General features: G+C 45.2%; 1 protein-coding gene across 2 annotated transcripts in view, besides 1 other annotated feature; it reads left to right on the forward strand.

The window, feature by feature from the left end:
- Positions 1–19142, forward strand: part of GALNT17 (polypeptide N-acetylgalactosaminyltransferase 17) — a 581456-nt gene extending 562314 nt beyond the window's left edge. Inside the window, exons 10-11 of one of the 2 annotated variants that reach the window (NM_022479.3) lie at positions 16304–16471; positions 17561–19142. In NM_022479.3, coding sequence (NP_071924.1) covers positions 16304–16471; positions 17561–17689 — 297 coding nt within the window. In that variant the 3' untranslated portion in view covers positions 17690–19142. Of the gene's footprint in view, positions 1–10050; positions 12657–16303; positions 16472–17560 lie in introns of those variants that run through there. The other variant, XM_011516467.4, reaches the window with a different exon arrangement.
- Positions 15915–16416: an enhancer, noted in NCBI's record as "H3K4me1 hESC enhancer chr7:71175357-71175858 (GRCh37/hg19 assembly coordinates)". NCBI's record gives its function as "activates a minimal SCP1, AML or CMV promoter by ChIP-STARR-seq in naive H9 embryonic stem cells {active_cell/tissue: H9 hESC(naive)}" and the evidence as "EXISTENCE:reporter gene assay evidence [ECO:0000049][PMID:30033119]".
- Positions 19143–20849: the final 1707 nt, after the last annotated feature.

Below are 20849 nucleotides of genomic sequence, written 5' to 3' on the forward strand. Positions count from 1 at the left end.
AGCAATTCTCCTGCTGCAGCCTCTGCCACCCAGATTCAAGCAATTCTCCTGCCTCAGCCTCCCAAGTAGCTGTGATTACAGATGTGCACCACCACGTTCAGTTAATGTTCGTATTTTTAGTAGAGACGGGGTTTCACCATGTTGGCCAGGCTGGTCTCAAACTTCTGACCTCAAGTGATTCGCCCGCCTCGGCCTCCTAAAGTGCTGGGATTACAGGCGTGAGCCACGGTGCCCAGCCATTATCCCCATTTTAAAAAATAAGGAAGCAGAGTCCCATAGGGCTAAAGTAATTGGCCCAGGGCCATAAAATCATTAAGTAGCAGAGCCTGGATTTCTTAAGCAGGCCCCAGAGTCCAAGTCCTTAACCATTATACTCCTGTCTCTCTAATGACACAGCAAGGTCAGAAATGCTGCTGTAGTTGGCAAGCGAAGAAAGTGAGCTGGTTGAGCCGTGGTACAGAAAGCCAGTGCTTGCTAGCACGTCCACACTGAACCAGGATACAGCCCTCCCTTCCCATTTCACATATAGAGACAAAAAAGAAATTCATGTCATCAGCGGTCTGTCCTACTGAGAAATAAAGTCTTTACTTCCTTAACCAATTCAGCAGTCAAAGGTGTGCTTTGAAGATGTGCTTAGGAATATTCTCCTGATTCCCTAGAAGTCGGAGTGGACTACGCATTCCCTCTCTCACCCAGCTCTTCCAGCTCTCATCCTGGTGCCCCACACCAAGAGAGGCCCCAGGTCTCTCCACAGGTCATGTGGGCCAGACCCTGCCTCCATCAGAACTGCCCCAATCTATCCGCTCCTAGAACTGTCTCTGCAAGAAAATCAGCCTGAGGTTTTTGTGGCACAAAGATGTATCCCCATTCATTCCAAGTAGCAAATGCATTTTCTGGAAACATAGTGCTTGAATCCAGCATGATGAGTCATATGGCAGAAGGGAGAAGCCAGCAGAGGAAGGGCCCTTGGGACCATCCCAGCCCCCAGGAGCTGGCCCTCTCTGCAGGAACCATCTGGTTCCATAGCATGCTTTCTAAGCTCCCATATATATTTTTAAATCAACTATATGGAAGCGTAAGGTAAATAAATACACTGCATCTATTTAAAGTGTGCAATCTGATGAGTTTTGCCAGGTGTGTGCACCTGTGAAGGGGCTCTTGAAATCAAGATTCAGAACATTTCCATCTCCCTCAAGGATTTCTCATGCTCCTTTTCTAACCCCAGCTCTCAGGCAGCCACCACTTGCCCACTGTGAGACATTTATTTTCTATATTCAGTTTGGGATTGGGCATTTGGAATTTTCCAAAGGCAGCATCCTCTGTAGATGTCTACAGGCCCCTGGAGACAGAGCATCTTCTCAGGCCTGTATCCTCCATGCCTGGGACTGGGTCCTTGCTCTCAGGACAGCCTAGAGGGGCTCCTGTCCCCTGCTGGGCTGCCTCTTTCTTTGCTTGGCCCAGCTTCCCAAACACCCAGGATAATAAAGGAGAAACTCTGTCAATTTCAATAATATACACATGTACTTGCCAGTCATAAGAAACCATTCTTCTGGGCTTTAACCAAGCAATAAATAAATGTACTCCAAAGCAGATCTGAATTAATGGAATATATCTCTCTGTCTCTTGAGTAGAAGCTGGGAAACCTGAACTTTTCTTTTTTGGTGTTTGTTTTAGAGATAGGATCTTGCTCTGTCACCTAGGCTGGAATGCAGTGGTGCAGTCATAGTTCACTGCAGCCTTAAGTTCCTGGGCTCAATTGATCCTCCTGCCTCAGCCTCCCGAGTAGCTGGGACTACAAGCATGTGCCACCATGCCCAGCTAGTTTATTTTATTTTTATAGAGACGGTGTTTCACTATGTTACCCAGGCTGGTCTTGAACTCCTAGCCTCAAGTGATCCTCCTGCCTCACCCTCCCAAAGTGCTGGGATTACAGGTGTGAGCCCCTGTGCCCAGCCAAGAAACCTACATTTTGCATTTAGCCATTGTTTTCTACACTGACTGCTGGATTTTAAAATCAAGAGAAAGGCCTCTAATAGGAAAGCAATTGCAAGCCATGTTTTTATTGATAATCTGATGGATTTTGCTGTGTTCTGGAGTCATTCTGCAATTATTTATCTGGTTTTTGTTTATCTGGCTATAACCTGCGTATTCTAGTTTTCCTTCAAGGCTGTTAAATTTGGGTTAATAGTTGTATGTGTCTCTTAGATCATCTCAAATGGAAAATTCTTTCCCCCTAAATGAGAATTAATTGTATTTGAGCTCAGAGGGTTTTTTCCCAATGCATTAGGGTGTGGATAATGACGTTCATTTCTCCTCATGAGCCCAGGAGCCAAATAGAGTAATCCCATTCACTTCCAAAGACATTTATAGAGCATTTGATTTTTGCAAGATACTTTTGTTGGTCCTTAATGCTGGATAAAAATGGGTATAATGCTGCTAAAAATAACACTAAGAAAAACCTATAGCAAAGAAAGACACATTTATAAAATACGAGATTATGTAAGTTGGAAGAATCATATCTGGGTGGGGGCTATATGGAGCCAGTGGAGACAGGGTGGGGCTAGGGAGAGAATATCCTGCACATACAGGGAAGGCAGGCTGGACGGTCAGCTGTTGTTGAGAAACCTCATATCATCTATCAGACTAAGCCAGAAAAGCAAGAGTTACACCTGAAAAGGTAAGTGGGACCATAGAGTAAAAAGTCATGGTAGAAAGTTTATTCTTAAATTGGTGGACCATGAGAGCAATGGAAGATTGAGGCAAGGAATGGTATGGTTATAACCTGCAGGACTGGGTAGGGTAGATGGGAACTGTGAGGGTCTGGAGGCAAGAGAACCAGTGATAAAGATCTGTCTTTATCTGCATCTGTCTCAGAATAGTAAGAATATTCGGGTCTCAGAATAGTCTGGAATTTTGGGAGGAAATATTTAGAGGCAGGAATCGGAGGACATGCAAATTTGTGGATGAAAGGATGAGGGAGGGGAAGGGTGCAAAGTTGATTCAAGTGCGCAAGTCTAGAACTAGGGGACTCTGGGTGCGTAACAGGGAGCTAATTGTCTGTTGGCTCCACACTGCAGGAATGAGAGTCACAAGTTTCAGGCAGTCGTAAACTCAGAGAATAATGCATTACCCATCCTTCTCCTCCCACTAGCAGGATTACCTTGGCAACAGTGAGCATCATCATACCAAAATGATAGATTTCACAGATAGTGGCTTGGCCATAATTTGGTGAATGAGCATCACAGTAATGAAATAGCTTTCAGTAGTAGAGTACATTAGATACTTTGAAGGGTCTCCCTGCTCTCATATAGACAGATTTTAGATAAACTATAACAAATATTATTTAGATTTTTTTTCTAGGCTCATAAGAAAGTGGTTGTATCAGCCGGGAGTGGTGGCTCATGCCTATAATCCCAGCACTTTGGGAGGCCTAGTCAGGCAGATCACCTGAGGTCAGGAGTTCAAGACCAGCCTGGCCAACATGGCAAAACCCTGTCTCTACTAAAAGTACAAACATTAGCCAGGCATGGTGGTGGGCGCCTGTAATCCCAGCTACTCAGGAGGCTGAGGCAGGAGAATTGCTTGAATCTGGGAGGCAGAGGTTACAGCGAGCCATGATCACGCCACTGCACTCCAGCCTGCGCGACAAGAGCAAGACTCTGTCTCAAAAAAAAAAAAAAAAAAGAAAAGAAAAGAAAGAAAGTGGTTGTATCAGTGAGCTTTTGCTGCATAACAAATTATCCCCAGACATTTTCAGATAAACTAAATCTGACAGTGTGTCTGTCCTATGACAGACAGTCACCAAAGGAACTTCTAAAGAATGTACTGTAGGAAAAAGGAAAATGACTGCAGAAGGATGTCTTGAGGCAAGAATGAATTATAAGCAAAGAAATTTATAAACACATAAATCTATGCAAACATTTATTGCATAAAATCATAAGAATAATGTCTAATTTGGGGAACAAGGGAGATATAACCAAAATACTGAACTATTAGAAGGAAGTGATCAGATTTGGTATCCTAATGTCTTTGAATTTTATTGAGGGGAAGCAGATGTTAAGATATTTTATAAAATTAGATTTTGCAAAGTTGTCACTGGTTAAATTTGAAGAGTAAACAATAAAATAATAGAAATGGAGTGTGATTTTTAAATCTGTAGAGGGGAACAATGAAATCTGATAACATGTCAACAAATCAACCAAACGCAACTAATCCAAGCAAAGGCAAGTAGAGGAGAAAGAAGGAAACAGAGGAGCCTGGACAAACAGAAAGCACAAAGAGAGATGGTAGAAATAAGTACAAATATATCATTAATTACAATGAATATGAATGGATTTAACTCTTCAGTTAAAAGACAGAGATTGCCACCTTAAATTTTTAAAACTCCAGCTGTATTCCATTTTCAAGAGACACATAAAAAACCTCAGGAGAGCGCCGGGCCCAGTGGCTCACGCCTGTAATCCCAGCACTTTGAGAGGCCGAGGGGGGCAGATTGCCAGAACTCAGGAGTTCGAGACCAGCCTGGGCAACATGGTGAAACCCTGTCTCTACTAAAATACAAAAAATTAGCTGGGCATGGCAGCGTGTGCCTGTAATCCCACCTACTCGGGAGGCTGAGGCAGGAGAATTGCTTGAACCAGGGAGGTGGAGGTTGTAGTGAGCCAAGATCATGCCACTGCACGCCAGCCTAGGCAACAGAGCAAGACTCCATCTCAAAAAAAAAAAAAAAAAAAAAAAAATGACCAGGTGCAGTGGCTCACACCTGTAATCCCAGCACTTCTTGAGGCCGAGGCCGGTGGATCACGAGGTCAAGATATCGATACCATTCTGGCCAACATGGTGAAACCCCGTCTCTACTACAAGTACAAAAATTAGCCTGGCATGGTGGTGCACCTGTAGTCCCAGCTACTCCGGAGTCTGAGGCAGGAGAATCGCTTGAACCTGGGAGGCAGAGGTTGCAGTGAGCCGAGATTGCGCCACTGCGCTCCAGCCTGGGTGACAGAGTGAGACTCTGTCTCAAAAAAAAAAAAAACCCAAAAAACAAAAAAAAAACCCTCAGGAGAGTGAAATGTTGAATTAAAAAGATGGAAAGGGTTATGTCAGGCAAATTCTAAAGAGCAGAAAGCTGGGGTAACCTCGTTAATATCAAACAAACTAGCCTGTAGATCAAAATGCGTTATTAAAGATGAATGCGGCCTGGACACAGTGGCTCATGCCTGTAATCCCAACACTTTGAGATGCTGAAATGGGAGAATCATTTGAGCCTAGGAGTTTGAGGCCAGCCTGGGCAAAATAGTGAGACCCTGTCTCTATGATTTTTTTTTAAATAACCAGGTGTTATGGCATGCACCTGTAGTCCCAGCTACTTGGGAGGCTGAGGCAGGAGGATCACGTATGCGCAGGAGTTGGAGGCTGCAATTAACTATGATCACTTTACTGCACTGCAGCCTGAGTGATGGAGTGAGACCCCTGTCTCAGAAAAAAAATAAGGTGAAGTGTGTCAGTGTATGATGATAAAATATTCCGTTTTCCAGTAAGATAGAATAATTATTGGCCAGGCACAGTGGCTCACACCTGTAATCACAGCAGTTTGGGAGGCCAAGGCGGGCAGATCACTTGAGGCTAGGAGTTCAAGACCAGCCTGGCCAACATAGCGAAAGCCCATGTCTACTAAAAATACAACAACAACAACAACAAAAAACTAGCCAGGCACAGTGATGCACACCTGTAGTCCCAGATACTCAGGAGGCTAAGGCCCAAGAATCACTTGAGCCCAGGTGGCGGAGGTTGCAGTGAGCCGAGATCACGCCACTGCACTACAGTTTGGGTGACATAGTGAGACTTTCTCAAAAAAAAAAAAAAAGAAGAATTCTTAACTACTTAACTTGTATGCATTCTCAAATCTGTCTTCTTCTAACCTTCACTGTCACACTTGAGTTCAGACCTTCATCCGCCCCTCTACTTCCATCCTCATTGCAGTTCATTCTCCACTCAACAGACAGTGTGGTCAGCCTAAAATTCAGATGGCTCTTGATGAGAAAGCCCCGATTCCTGAGCTTGATGGACTCCATCTAGTGGAGTCTCACCTGCACTAGACCCAGCTCCCCCACCTCTATACTCCATCATGGTGAAAGCTATGCTTGGGTTCTCCAAAACACCACATTTCCTCTGGTCTCCAGGCCTTTAAACAGCTGCTCCATATTCCTGGTCTGATCTGTTTTTCTCTTACTTGCCTAGTTGGCTGACTCCATCAGGGCTTGACTTCAATGCCTTCTCCTCTGGGAATCCTTCTTTGACCTTCCTCTTTTGGATGGGGACTCATCCTATTCTGCTTTTATGAACCACCGTGTATTTCCTAGCAATATTTCACATTTTATCATTGCCTTTTTACTTGCCTGACTCCAGTGAGTAAGCTGTGAACACCTCGAAAGCAAGCACTGTGTCATTCATTCATGATGTCAACAAATATTTATCAAGCACCTACTATATGCCAGGCATTCTTCTAAGAGCTAGAGATAGAGCAGTGAACAAAAAAGTTAAGCAAACACACCCCTGCCTTCATGCCACTCTCATTCTAGCCAAGGGAGCCAAACAACAAACTGGGTAGGTAAGGAAAATAGATGGTTTAATAGAAGATGATAGGTGTTTGCAGAGAAGTAAAGCAAGGAGAAAGATAGGGAGTAAGGGGTGGATGTGAAATTTTAAATAAGATGATCAAGGGAAAGTCTCAGAAAGAATATGACATTTGGCCGGTCACGATGGCTCACGCCTGTAATCCCAGCACTTTGGGAGGCCGAGGTAGGCAGATCACCTGAGGTCAGAAGTTCAAGACCAGCCTGGCCAACCTGGTGAAACCTTGTCTCTACTAAAAGTATAAAAATTAGCTGGGCATGGTGGCAGGTGCCTGTAATCCTGGCTACTCTGGAGGCTAAGGCAGGAGAATCACTTGAACTCAGGAGGTGGAGGTTGCAGTGAGCCAAGATCACGCCATTGTACTCCAGCCTGGATAACAGAGTGAGACTCTATCTCAAAAAAGAAAAAAAAAAGAATATGACATTTAAGCAGAAACTTGAAAGAGGTGAGAGAGTGAGCCATTCAAACATCTGGAGGAGGCACTCCTGGGTATCTACCCAAAGAAAAAGGAGTCATCCTATCAAAAAGATGCCTGCACTTGTATGTTCATCACAGCACTATCCACAATAACAAATTCATGGAATTAACCTAAGTGCGCATCAAGAGTGGATGGGATAAAGAAAATGTGGTGTATGTATATATATATATATGTGTATATATATGTATATATATGTGTATATATATGTGTGTGTGTATATATATGTGTGTGTGTGTATATATATATACACATATATATACACATATATATATGTGTATATATATATACACATATATATATACATATATATATGTATATATATATATACACATATATATATATACATATATATATGTATATATATACATGTCATGGAACACTATGCAACCATAAAAAAGAATAAAATCATATCCTTTGCAGCAACATAGATGTAGCTGGAGGCCATTATCCTAAGTGAATTAACAAAGGAACAGAAAACCTAATACCACATGTTCTCACTTATAAGTGGGAGCTAAACATTGGACATAGAAATGGAAACAATAGACACTGTGGACTACCAGAGTAGAGAGAGAGGGAGGAGGGTAAGGGTTGAAAAGTGCCTACTGGGTACTATGTTTACTATTTGGGTGATGGGTTCAGTAGAAGCCCAAACCTCAGCATTATGCAATATATCCATGTAACAAATATGTACACTACCCCCTGAATCTAAAACTTTTAAAAATAGAAAAACAGAAAGATACCTAAAGGAAGAGTATTCAAGAGAGAAGGAACAGCCAGTGCAAAGGCTCTGAGCAGGAGCAGGCATGGACGGTTCACAGATCAGCAGGGAGGCGCATGTGGCTGGATTAAATAAGATGATCAAGGAAAAGTCTCAGCAAACAATATGACATGTGGCTGGAAGTTCTGGAAGCTCAGAAAGCCATTATTGGATTGCAAGACCCATCGCAAGGATCTTGGACTTTTATTTTGGGTGAGATTGGAAGCTTCCAGAAGATTTTCAGCAGAGAGATGGCACACCCTGACTCCAATTTAAAGTAACATGATTTTAAATAATATAGTATTTTAAAAGCAGTCACTCTGGATGGTGTGTTGATAAAAAGCTGAGGGAGGCAAGGAGGGGGAACTGGGGAACCAGTTAGGAGGCCATTGCACTAACCTTATCAAGAAAGGAAGTTGGCTTAGAACAGGGAGGTAGCTGTGGAGGTGGAATCTGGATATGATTTGCTAATGGATTGAATATGGTGGATCAGAGAAAGGGGTAAGTAAGGTGTTTGGCCTAAGCAACTGTAAGGATGGAGTTATCATTACCAAGAAGGAATAGATGCTGGATGAGTGTATGGGTGATGGTGGTTACACAAGAGGATCAGTTCAGTTGGGTCATCTAAATTTAAAATGCTTATTAGACATCCAAGTGGTATGTCAAGTAGGGAGCTGGATATACAAAGTTGGAATTGAGAGAAATTTTTGGTTTGGAGATAGAAGTTTCAAACAGCCAAATTAGCATGTAAATGCTATTGAAAGCGCTGAGGATGGAAAACTCTCCAAGAAAGTGACTACATATAGGAGAAGTTATATCAACTGTACTCAGCACAGCGCCTGGGGGCAATTGAAGTTTATAATTTATAGATCCTGGTTTATTAGGCTGTTCTTGCCTTGTTTTAAAGAAATACTGGAGACTGGGTAATTTATAAAGAAAAGAGGTTTAATTGGCTTTTGGCTGTACAACATCTGCTCAGCTTCTGGTGAGGCCTCAGGGAGCTTTTGCCCATGACGGAAGGTGAAGCAGGAGCAGGCACATCAATGGGCAAGAGTGGGAAAAAGAGAGTGAGGTGAGAAGGTCCTAGACTTCTAAACAACCAGATCTTGCATTAACTAACTAAGCAAGAACTCATTTATCACCAAGGGGATGGTGCTTAAACCATTCATAAGGGATATGGCCCCATGATACAGTTACCTCCCATCAGACCCCATCTCCAACACCGTCAATCACATTTCAACATGATATTTGGAGGAGACAAACACTCAAACCGCATCACCTGATAACCTTTAAAAGAGCAATTTCAATAAAGTAACAATGGCAGAAGTTAGGTTTCAAGGCATTAAAGGTATAAGAGAGAGGAAATTCAAATTAAGAGATAAGTAGAGCTGTGGCTAGAGTCATAAAGATCCGGTTATATTTGTAGCTTGATTGAAGAAATGAAAGAAAGGAGTGAATAATGGCTTAGGGTACCTACAGTGTGGGAAGAGGGTCAGAGACCGAAGGAAATGAGAGTGAAGGAAGACAGGTTTTTGAGAAGTAAGGGAGACAACTTTTCAACAAAATGGAAAGTAATATTCTCTGAAGGCAGTAAGGGCCCAGGACACCAGGATAGGAGATTGAGGAGGAAGAACACATTTTTAAAAATCTAGACTCTGGCAGGGATGGAAGGCAGTGTTGGTTGACAGAGAGTCACATGAGGCAAATGAAAAGATGAGAAGGGCCCAGGCACAGTTGGAACACAGGTCTCCAGTGGGTGTGGTCAGTTGGCACCTGTCCCTGGCTGTGTGAAAGCAAAGACCAAGGAGACCCGTAAAACCTGTAGTTCAGAGTGACCATGAGGTACCTGGGTGGTTGGTGTGATCACAGAGGTGTATTAAACACACTACTTGCACTGGCAATGAACATTCTGAAAAGGGAATTAAGAGAACAAAACCATTTACAATAGCATCAAAAAGGATTAAATGCTTAGGAATAAATTTAGCCAAAAAAATGCAAGACATGTACACTGAAAATGAGAAAACATTATTGAAAGAAATTAAAGATCTAAGTAAAAAAGATATCCTGTGTTCATGGATTAGAGGACTTAAGAGTGTTAAGATGGCATTTCTTCCTAAATTGATCTAGAGATTCAATGCAATCCCTATCAAAATGCCAACTGCCTTTTTTTTTTTTTTTGCAGAAATGGAAAAGCTAATCCTAAAATACATATGAAATTCAAGGGACACAAAATAGCCAGAACAGTATTGAAAAAGAACAAAGTTGCAAGACTCACACTTCCCAGTTCTAAGACTTGCTACAAAGCTATAATAATCAAAGCAGTATAGTGTGGCACAAAGATAGACGTGGAGATCAAAGGAATCACATTTAGAGTCTAGAAACAAACCCTCACATTTATAGTCCATTGATTTTTGACAAGAGTGACAAGACAATTCAATAAGGAAAGAATAGTCTTTTCAGCAATGGTGCCGGGACACAGATATCCACATGAAAAAGAGTGAATTTGGACCTCAACCTTATACTATACAGAAAAAAAATTCAAAGGGCATCAAAGACCTAAATATAAGAGATGAAACTATAAAATTCTTAGAAAACACAGGGGTAAATCTTCATGGCCTTGGATTTTGCAATGGTTTCTTAGATATGACTTCAAAACCACAAATAACCAAAGAAAAAAATAGCTACTTTGTATTTTACCAAAAAGAAAAACTTTGATGCTTCAAAGGACATTATCAAGCAAGTGAAAAACAACCCACAGAATGGGAGAAAATATTTGTACATCATATGTCAGAAAAATGTCTTAGTATCCAGAATATGTAAAGAACTCTTAAAACTCAAAAATAAGAAGACAAATAACCCTTTTTTTGATGGTCAAAAGAGTTGAATAGACTTTTTTTTCAAAGAAGATATAAAACGGTCAATAAGCAAATGAAAAGATGCTCAACATCTTTAGTCATTAGAGAAATGCAAATTAAAACCACAGTGGCCACTTCACACTCCTACTAGGATGACTAGAATCAAAAAAAGCAGACAATAACATGAGTTGGCCAGGATGTGGAGAAATTGAAACCCCGGTTCATTGCTGGTGGGAGTGTAAAATGGTACAGCTGCTTTGGAAAATAGTTTGGCAGTTCCGTAGAAAGTTAAACATAGAGTTACCATATGGCCCAAGGATGAGTAATTCTACTCCTAGGTGTATACCTCAGAGAATTGAAAACATATGTTCATATGAAAATTGTACATGAATATCCACAGCAGCATCATTCATAATAGCCAAAGAATGGAAACAACCCCAATGTCCATCAGCTTGAAAATGAATAAACAAAATGGTCAAAATGAGGAGACCACACCTTGAAGAGACACATTAAAGCAGCACATACATCCAGTTGCTCCAAAGACCTGAAAGGAGAGGTCTGGGGGCTGGAAGACATTGTGCAGGAGAGAGAATCACACTGAAGCCTAGGAAAGTTGAAGCCAGAACATTCTAGAGGAAGGCCAATCAGTAGCATCTCCAGGCAGAGAAATACACCTAGACAAAGACTTAGAGGCAGGAAAGCCTACTGAACGTGCAGAGGACAGGAAGAAGAGACGCTCAAGGAAGGAGCATGAGGGATGAGGAGTCATGGTAGGTGGACAATACCCCAAAGGCTCCTGGTTCAGGACTGGGGCAAACTTTGGACATTTGGTTGACAGCAGATCCAAGGGTTCGCTACCCACCTGCCTCATGGTAGAAAAGCGGATGTGAGATCTGTTTGCCTAACTTTAGCCCCATCATTCTTCAGACCACAGTACTGGCTTCTAACTTTCTCAGAAAAGGAGGCAAGTATTGGTCCCTTGGCCAGACCAGCAGAACCTATGCACATGACCCAGTATTTTCAGTGAGATAAACACCTTCCCCTGGAAAGGAAATCCCACTCAGGGGCCCTCCTCACCTGCCCCAGCCTACCCTGCATGGCTGCATGGCTTAGGACTGCCATGTGGCCTCTGCAGGTCCTGGCATTCTAGGTCTCATTGTTTCACTCCCTAACAGACCTCAGAAAGGAGAACCTCTAACTCCCAGTGGCATTTAGCTTCCCTCTTTAAACATCTGGGTCACAGATATGCTCAGTTAATTAATGTTCTTAGTGCTGCTCATCTGCCTGCTGGATAATAGATTGATTCATAATTTCAGTAAGCAGCTGTGTATATCTTTCCCTGAACATAAAGGCAGCTTGCTGTCATTCATCACTTTGCATTTGGAGAATTTAAATATATTCAGGCAGACATTGTTTAGGGACGGGGAGGGAGGGCTTCTGATTTTCTTACCATTTTGCTTCTAACAATGACTTTGATTTGGAACTAATTGGGGTTTAAAGCACACGTTAACCACATCTCTCTCAAGGGCACTTAATAAACTCCCTGTCCCTTGTTCAAGGAGACCAGCCAGGCCCTCCTTTTGGGATAAGAGCCAAGAGCTTCTGAGTACCTTTCACCAAGAAATGAGAACCCCATGCAGAGAATCTTATCTGCCAGAAAAGAGCCACTCCTGTCCCTGAGCAGAGCTACTTATTTCATTCCTGGGCAGAATATGCTCAAGCTTTCTGGAGGAGGTGGGGTTCTCCTGGCAATCTGGGAGGGGGCTCTTCTGCTGCTCAGCTGCTGGGCCATGGCAGCCAACCATGAGGTATTCGGTGACCAAAAGAAAGCGGCCAGCACCCAGCCAGGTGACCAGATGTCTTCATGCCTCAGTTTCCTCATCTATAAAATGTAAAGAATAATAAAACATATCTTGCAGAGTTGTTGGGAAAATTGCATTATTTATTCTCTTTACAATGGTTAGAAATGATGCAGAGTATTTTTTTTTAATTTATTAGGCAACAGCTGTGTAGATGTGGCTGCCTTTTCAAATGATGCCATTCACCACAGTTATGTGCTCAACCCCAAACACGTTTTGAGCACTTGGTCTGTGATTTGCTCCTAGTAAGGAAGGAAATTAATTAGGCACAGCCCCTCCCTCTCAGGAGTGTGAAAGATGGATGAATGAATGCATTTTTTTTATTTTGGAATATGATTCTTAAACAATATAATTTTCCTTCCCCAGGAAAGTAAAGGCAGCAGAGGCGAGGCTACTAGCCTAGTACAGGCCCTGTTGTGGGAAGGTTGCCGGGCAACACCTTCCCTGTATCAGTCAGGAATTGCTGCATAACAACTACCCCAAAACGTAGTGGCTTAAAACAATATGCATTTTTTATTGCTCACGAGTCTACAGGTCAGCTGGATGGTTCTCTGATCTGGACTAGGCTTGGCTGATCTAGGCTGGACTCATTCGTGCATCTCCTATCAGCAGCTGGCAGGTTGGCTGAGGGCTCCCTGATCCAGGTTGGCCTCATCCATTTGGTTAACTGGTGGTTAACTAGCAATTGGTTGGGCCACATGACTCTCATCCTCAAACAGGCCAGCCTGGGCTTACTGTTCCAAGAGACTGAAAGGATTCATACAAGGCTAAAAGTCTAGTCTAGGAACAGGCACAGCCTCACTTCTGCTCCATTCCATTGGCCAAAGCAAGTCACAGGGCCAACCAACATTCAAGGGATGGGGGAACAGACTCCATTTCTTGATGGAAATTGCTTCAAAGCCATCTTGCCATGGGTGTATAGAAGGAATAGCGGAGGATGTGGTCAGTTTTGCAACCTACCACAATCATCCAGCATTTGTTGTTGTACATAGAGCATAAAGCAAGTACTAGGATTATGTTGCCCACTTGCAGTATTTTTGCTCTGCTCTTTCATTATTATAAATTCTGTTGCAATAAATACCCTACCCATGAATTTTTTGTTTGCAATTCTGATTATTTCCTTCTGATAGAGTGTATTAGTCCAGTCTTATGCTGTTAATAAAAACATACCCAAGACTGGGTAATTTATAAAGAAAAAGAGGTTTTAATGGACTCATAGTTCTACATGGCTGAGGAGGCCTCGCAATCATGTTGGAAGGCGAGGGAGGAGCAAAGGGATGCCTTATGGGGTGGCAGGGAAGAGAGCATGTGCAGGGGAACTGTCCTTTATAAAACCAGCAGATCTCATGAGACTTATTCATTATCATGAGAACAGCATGGGAAAAACCTCCCTTCATGAATCAATTACCTCCCACCGGTCCCTCCCACAACACATGAGGATTATGGGAGCTACAATTCAAGATGAGATTTGGGTGGGGACAGAGCCAAACCATATCATGGAGTTCTACAAATGGATTCTTTTTAATTTCTATTTTGATTCAGAGGAGTACATATATAGGTTTTTAACAAGGGTGTATTGCATGATGCTGAGGTTTGGGGTATGCTTGAAATCGTCACCCAGGTAGTAAGCATAATACCCAATAGGTAGTTTTTCAACTCTTGCCTTCCTTTCTCCCTCCCTCCTTTTGGCATTCCCAGTGTCTGTAATTTCCATCTTTATGTCCATGAGTACCCAATATTTAGCTCCCACTCACAAGTGAGAACATACAGTGTTTGGTCTTCTGATTCTGCATTAATTCTCTTAGAATAATGGCCTCCAGCTGCATCCATGTTGCTACAAAAGACATGATGCTGTTCTTTTTCATGGCTGTATTGTATTCCATGGTGTATAGGTACCACATTTTCTTCATCAAATTCACCATTTATGGGCACGTGGGTTGATTGCATACCTTTGCTATTGTGAATAGTGCTGCAATGAACGTGTAAGTGCATGTGTCTTTTTGGTAGAATGATGTCTTTTCCTTTGGGTAGATACCCAGTAATAGGATTGCAGGTCAAACAGTAGTTCTACTTTTAGTTCTTTGATAAGTCTCCAAACTTCTTTCCACAGTGGATGAACTAATTTACCTTCCCACCAACAGTGTATAAGCATGCCTTCTTCTCTGCAGCCTCATCAACCTCTGTTATTTTTTGACTTTTTAATGATAGCCATTCTTGCTGGTGTGAGATGGTATCTCATTGTGGTTTTGATTTGCATGTGTCTGATGATTAGTGATGATGAGCATTTTTTCACATGTTTGTTGGCCACTTGTATGTCTTCTAGTGAGAGTGTCTGTTCATGTCCTTTGCGCATAAAAGTGGATTAATTGAATCAAAGGCCATGAACATTTTAAAAGAACGAAGTATATATTTAGAAATCTCCTTTTTGAAAGGTTGTAGTAATCTACCCTCCCTCCAGCCCAATAGTGAGAGGGCCCATCTTAGACTTAGGTCACCAAAATGTGGTGAATAATCTCTGATTTTAGTTTCAGTTTTTGGGTTTTTTTTTTTGTTTTTTTGGTTTTTGTTTGTTTTTTGAGACAGAGCCTCACTCTGTTGCCCAGGCTGGAGTGCAGTGGCACAATCTCTGCTCACTGCAACCTCCGCACCCCCAGGTTCAAGCAATTCTCCTGCCTCAGCCTCCTGAATAGCTTGGATTATAGTTGCTCACCACCACACCCAGCTGATTTTTGTAGTTTTAGAAGAGACGGAGTTTGGCCATGTTGGTCAGGCTGGTCTCGAACTCCTGGCTTCAAGTGATCTGCCTGCCTCAGCCTCCCAAAGTGCTGGGATCACGGGCATGAGCCACTGAGCCTGGCCTAATCTCTTTTGTAAAATGTGGTATCTTATTATTTTAGATTTTTGTTTCTTTTCATACCTATGAGGTTGAGTACTGTTTAATGTCTGTTTCTTCAGTGAATGGCTTCTTTGAGCCTTTTGCAGCAGGGTAGATTTAGTCAATCCCCCTTTGTAAGTGGGGAGGAAATGGAGACTCAGGTTACTTGTTCAAGGTGGCCCAGCCAGCTGAAAGTAGAGCCATTTAGAAATTAGACATCCAGCTTCTTCATCTATTCCTTCTCCCCGATGTTGCTGAACAGAAGACTAGGTCCTAAAACATTGACTGAGGATATGCTTAGATAAAAGATCAGGGCCGGGCGCCGTGGCTCATGCCTGTAATCCCAGCACTTTGAGAAGCCGAGGTGGGCAGATCACGAGGTCAGGAGTTCGAGACCAGCCTGACCAACATGATGAAACTCCATCTCTACTAAAAATACAAAAATTAGCCGTGTGTGGTGGTGCGCGCCTGTAATCCCACGTACTCAGGAGGCTGAGGCAAGAGAATTGCTTGAACCTGGGAAGCGGAGGTTGCAGTGAGCTGAGATCGTGCCATTGCACTCCAGACAGGACAACAGAGTGAGACTCCATCTCAAAGAAAAAAGGAAAAAAGATCAGAGAGTTGCCCTGGGGACTCTGTATCCAGGCTCAGAAGCCTGGGTGGCTTTCTGGAACAGGGCTGTCCTGTGAGGTGAGCATATGGCCTGAGTGACAGGCTGGGATGGTGGCCAGGACTGCAGTATTGACAAACAGCAGGAGTAAAGCCGAGAGACCTGAGCCCTGCTTCCTCCCATGTCTCACTCCTGCCTCCCACTTCCATTCCCCTGCTGCTCTGGTCTCTCGACAGCTTGCCCGCTACACCAAGGAAGGCTTCCTGCACTTGGGTGCCCTGGGGACCACCACACTCCTCCCTGACACCCGCTGCCTGGTGGACAACTCCAAGAGTCGGCTGCCCCAGCTCCTGGACTGCGACAAGGTCAAGAGCAGCCTGTACAAGCGCTGGAACTTCATCCAGGTGAGTGCTGTATGGACAGAGCCAGCACCCAGAGTAGCTGCAAGAGGCTGCAGACCACAGAGGGGAATCCTGCTTCCCCAGGGGTCCCCAGCAAAGAGCGACCCCGAACCCAGGTCTCCCTGCCCCGGGCTGGGCTTGTGGACCCAAAGCACTTCCTGGGGGCAGCTGTGGAGTTTCTGCATGGAGTAGCATTTCTGATTCCTATGTCAGTGCTAGGCTGGTTGAGCTCTGATCAATCCTGAGATAGGAGTGAGGGGGGACTTCCTTGAAATCCACTAAGTACCCACAGCCAGTGGGGTTGAGACCATCAGACCAAGAATATCCCAGGAAACTCAACATCCTGACCCCCTCCTGACCCCATCCCCCACCCCCCACCAACGCTCCTCACCTGATTCAGATACTCCAACTGGGTGAAGCTTATTTAGGTTCTGACTTCAGAGTCCCCAGAGGAGGTCCTCATGCTTCCCTGCCCCAGTCTCATGCAAAGAATTTTGGTGGAATTGATTCTCTGCAAGAAGCTATGTGCCAGGCGCCATGATAGTTAAGCCTCTCTCTCTCTTTCTTTCTCCTATTGCACTCTCTCTCTCTCCCTCTCTCTCCCTCTCTCCCTCTGTCTCCCTCTCTCTGCCTCTCTCTCCCTTTCTCTCTTTCTCTTCTCTGTCTTGTCTCTCCTCTATCTCCTGTCTTCTCTCTGTTCCTCTCCTCTCTTCTCTTTTTTCTCTCTCCCCTTTATCTTTCTCTTTTTCTCTCTCTCCTCTCTATCTTCTCTCTTCTCTCTTCTCTCTCTTCCCTCTTTTTCTACCCCTCCTCCCTTTCTTTGTCTTCTCTTTGTCTCTTTGTCTCGTTCTCTCTCCTGTCTCTTTCTCTTCTGTCTCTATCTTCTCTCTTTCTCCTCTCTTCCCTCTTTTTCTCTCTCTCCTCTTTCTGTCTTCTCTTTGCCTCTTTCTCTGTCTCTCTCTTTCTCTTCTCTTTTTCTTTTTCTCTTTGTCATTTTCTCTCTCCTGTCTCTCTTTCTCCTCTCTCTATATCTCTCGCTGTCTCTCTCTCCTCTCTCTCTTCTCCTCTCTTCTCGATTTTGCCCCCTCCCAGAATGGAGCCATCATGAACAAGGGCACGGGACGCTGCCTGGAGGTGGAGAACCGGGGCCTGGCTGGCATCGACCTCATCCTCCGCAGCTGCACAGGTCAGAGGTGGACCATTAAGAACTCCATCAAGTAGAGGGAGGGAGCTGGGGCACTGGAGCCTGGCCCCCAGGACATGGCTGCTCCCCCCAACATCTGGACCAGCTGCCCTGGCGGAGAGACAGCAAGGGGCCGGCAGGTGCTCGATGGGCCCCCCAGGGCTTCTCCAGGGCAGCACAGGGACCCCGGATGAAGACTCTGTCCCCCCTCAGGCATTCAGCTGCCCACAAGTTTCCTGCACCCTGGAAAAGCCCCCCACCCTTCCTCTGGGAAACTGACAGCTGTCTTCCACAGCCTCTGATGTGGACCTGGTACTGAGGAGCAAGACTGTCCAGTTCTCCTCCACATCTCCCATCCCAGAATCAGGATCTGGGACTGGCAGGGTCCCCTCCTGTGTCTCATCTCTTGCAGCAGCAGCTGCTGAACTCCAGCCATCAACACGGTGGGAGGCAGCGGGGGCTTCAGCCATGTCCTAGCTCCCCGCCCTAAAAGGAGGCAGTGAGGACCAGGCACTATTTCCTCCGAGGTTACTTCTACCCAGATGACACCTGCCTGTTCACGCCCCAAGGCAGCTACTGCCCCTAACCCTTCCCACCAGGGTAGCTTTGGGCACTGCAGCTCTGGACTTTTCTGGCCCCTCCTGAGATGACCTGATGGAGCTGATGCTTTCTCTCCTAATCCCTGGGCACTAGGCTCTTATCAGTGTGCTTGGGCCAGCTCTCCTGCCTGTGTCTAGAGGAAGCCAGAGACAGAAATAGGCTAAGCCTGCAGTAGGATCTCAGCCACAAGGGCCCCGCAGGATGGAGCTGGGTCAAGGACCAGGGAGCCCTGACTCCCAGAGGCTGCCACCGGGGAGAAGCAGCGGTCCTCCATCCAGAACCTAAGGGCTGAAGCAAAGGCTGCCAGGACCCTTGAAGATGCTTTTGGCTCACCTCATTTCACCCCACGCTCTGCTGGCTGGCAGAGGAGAAGGCAGTCGTTTCCTCTCTGAAGAGTATTTTTTTCGATTGCCCTCTGGTTAGGGTGCACATATAAATCAGAGTTAATATATGAACGCGTGTGCATGCACAAGTGTGTGTGTGCCTGCGTGCTGTGCGTGGCAGGGTGTGTGTGTGTGTGTCTGGCTGTGCGTTCCGGAGTGTGTGACGATGCTGACCTAGCTGTGTGGCCTTGGGCTTGCTGCTTCATTACTCACCTGGATGGGGACGAGGGATGAGAAGGGTGTGGGTTTGGCCCCATGTCACTGGCCGGAAGGATGTGTCTCAGCCCTGCCCTGTGGGGTGCCCCCGATGGGAGGCTGTCCCATCTCCCAGTCCCCATCTCTTTTTCCCCACACTGTCCCTGGCCAAGCCCTGCCCAGAGCTGAACCCTGTAGCTGCCCCCTTGCCCTGTGTGGGATTCGCAGTGTCTCATTTGGTGACGTCTTACTGGTGATCATCTCCTCACCCCATCTCCCACCTTGTGGAATAAATACATGTTAGCACTTCCCAGAGCAGCCTCCTTTGTGTCTTGATTTCTCCAGAACTGGAGGTGGGGAGGGGAGTGATGGAGACATAGGAGGAGAGCTTCTTTGGCTTTGAGGGTTTAGTGTTACTTATTTATCTATTTATTCGAGATGGGGTCTTGCTCTGTGGCCCAGGCTGGAGTGCAGTGGTGCAATCATGACCCACTGCAGCCTCAAACTCCTGGGGCTCAAATGATCCTCCCACCTCAGCCTCCTGAGTAACTGAGACTACAGGTACACATCACCGTGCCTGGCTAATTTTTTAAAAAAGATTTTTGTAGAGATGGAATCTTGCTATGTTGCCCAGGCTGGGCCTGAACTCCTAGCCTCAAGAGATCTTCCCACCTTCACATCTCAAACTGCTGGGATTTCAGGTGTGAGCCACTGCATCCAGCTAATTAAAAAAAAAATTGTAGAGCGGGGTCTTGCTATATTGCCCAGATTCGTTTCAAACTCCTGGCCTCAGGCAATCCTTTCACCTCAGCCTTCTGAGTAACTCGAACCACAGGCACAGGCCACTAGACCTGGCTGATTTTTGAGAAACAGGTTCTTGCTATGTTCCCCACTCTGGTCTTGAATTCCTGACCTCAAGTGATCCTCCCACCTCAGCCCCTCAAAGTGCAGAGATTACAGGTGTGAGTCAGTGCACCAGGTCTGGGTTTGCTCTTAGTAAAGGCAAAAGGCCCCCGCACACTGGGGCTGACTAAGGCAATGCCGTTCTACCCTCACACTCGCCTTTTCCCCCTTAAAGCAGGACAGAACTGGACACCTGACCCTCGCTTACTAACCCTTGTGTGTCCCAGGTTAGGAACGTCAGGTTGGCACAGAAAGCTGTAAGGAAGGGACGACTTACCATGGGACTTGGCCTGATCCAGCCGCTTCCTGCCACTATCCAGAAAATTCCACCTTTTTTGTTTTTTTTTTTTTTTGCTCTTCTCACCCAGGCTGGAGTACAGTGGCGCAATCTTGGCTCACTGCAACCTCTGCCTCCCAGGTTCAAGTGATTCTCCTGCCCCAGCCTCCTGAGTAGCTGGGATTACAGGCGTCTGCCACCACACCTATTTATTTTATTTTTTTTTTTAGTAAGAGACGGGGTTTCACCATGTTGGCCAGGCTGGTCTGGAACTCCTGACCTCAAGTGATCCTCCACCTCGGCCTCCCAAAGTGCTGAAGTTACAAGTATGAGCTACTGCATCTGGCACCCCCTCTTTTTTAGGGCCACACAGTGGCAGGACAAGATGGCCCGCTTTGCTTGTTTATGTGGCGTGGGGGATGCTGGCTCAGGACCCCTGAGACTCTCTGGTACCAGCACATGTGCTCTGAGCTCTGAACCTTGGTTACAAGGTCCAGTAGCCTGGAGGTGCTGTTCACATCAGCACCATCTGTCAGCAGCTTCCCCCCATGGGATCAGGATACCTGGGGAGACTGCTCAGAGCATGAGGTCAGCATCCCAGGGCAACACCCTCTTGACCCCATGGGGTCCCATCTGGGCTTGATGGCACTGGGAGTGGCCATGGACCAAGGGAGTGAAGAAGAATTAACAAAGCAAGAGAAAGGGAGGAAGAGAAAAGAGAAGCAGGACCCTGGTGGGAAGGAAAGGATTGGTCTTAAGTCCTTTGGGAGAATTTAAAAGCTCTGGATGGCCGGGCGTGGTGGCTCACGCCTGTAATCCTAGCACTTTGGGAGGCTGAGG

Source organism: Homo sapiens, chromosome 7 (genome assembly GCF_000001405.40).
Source record: "Homo sapiens chromosome 7, GRCh38.p14 Primary Assembly".
In the NCBI taxonomy this organism is placed as follows: domain Eukaryota; kingdom Metazoa; phylum Chordata; class Mammalia; order Primates; family Hominidae; genus Homo; species Homo sapiens.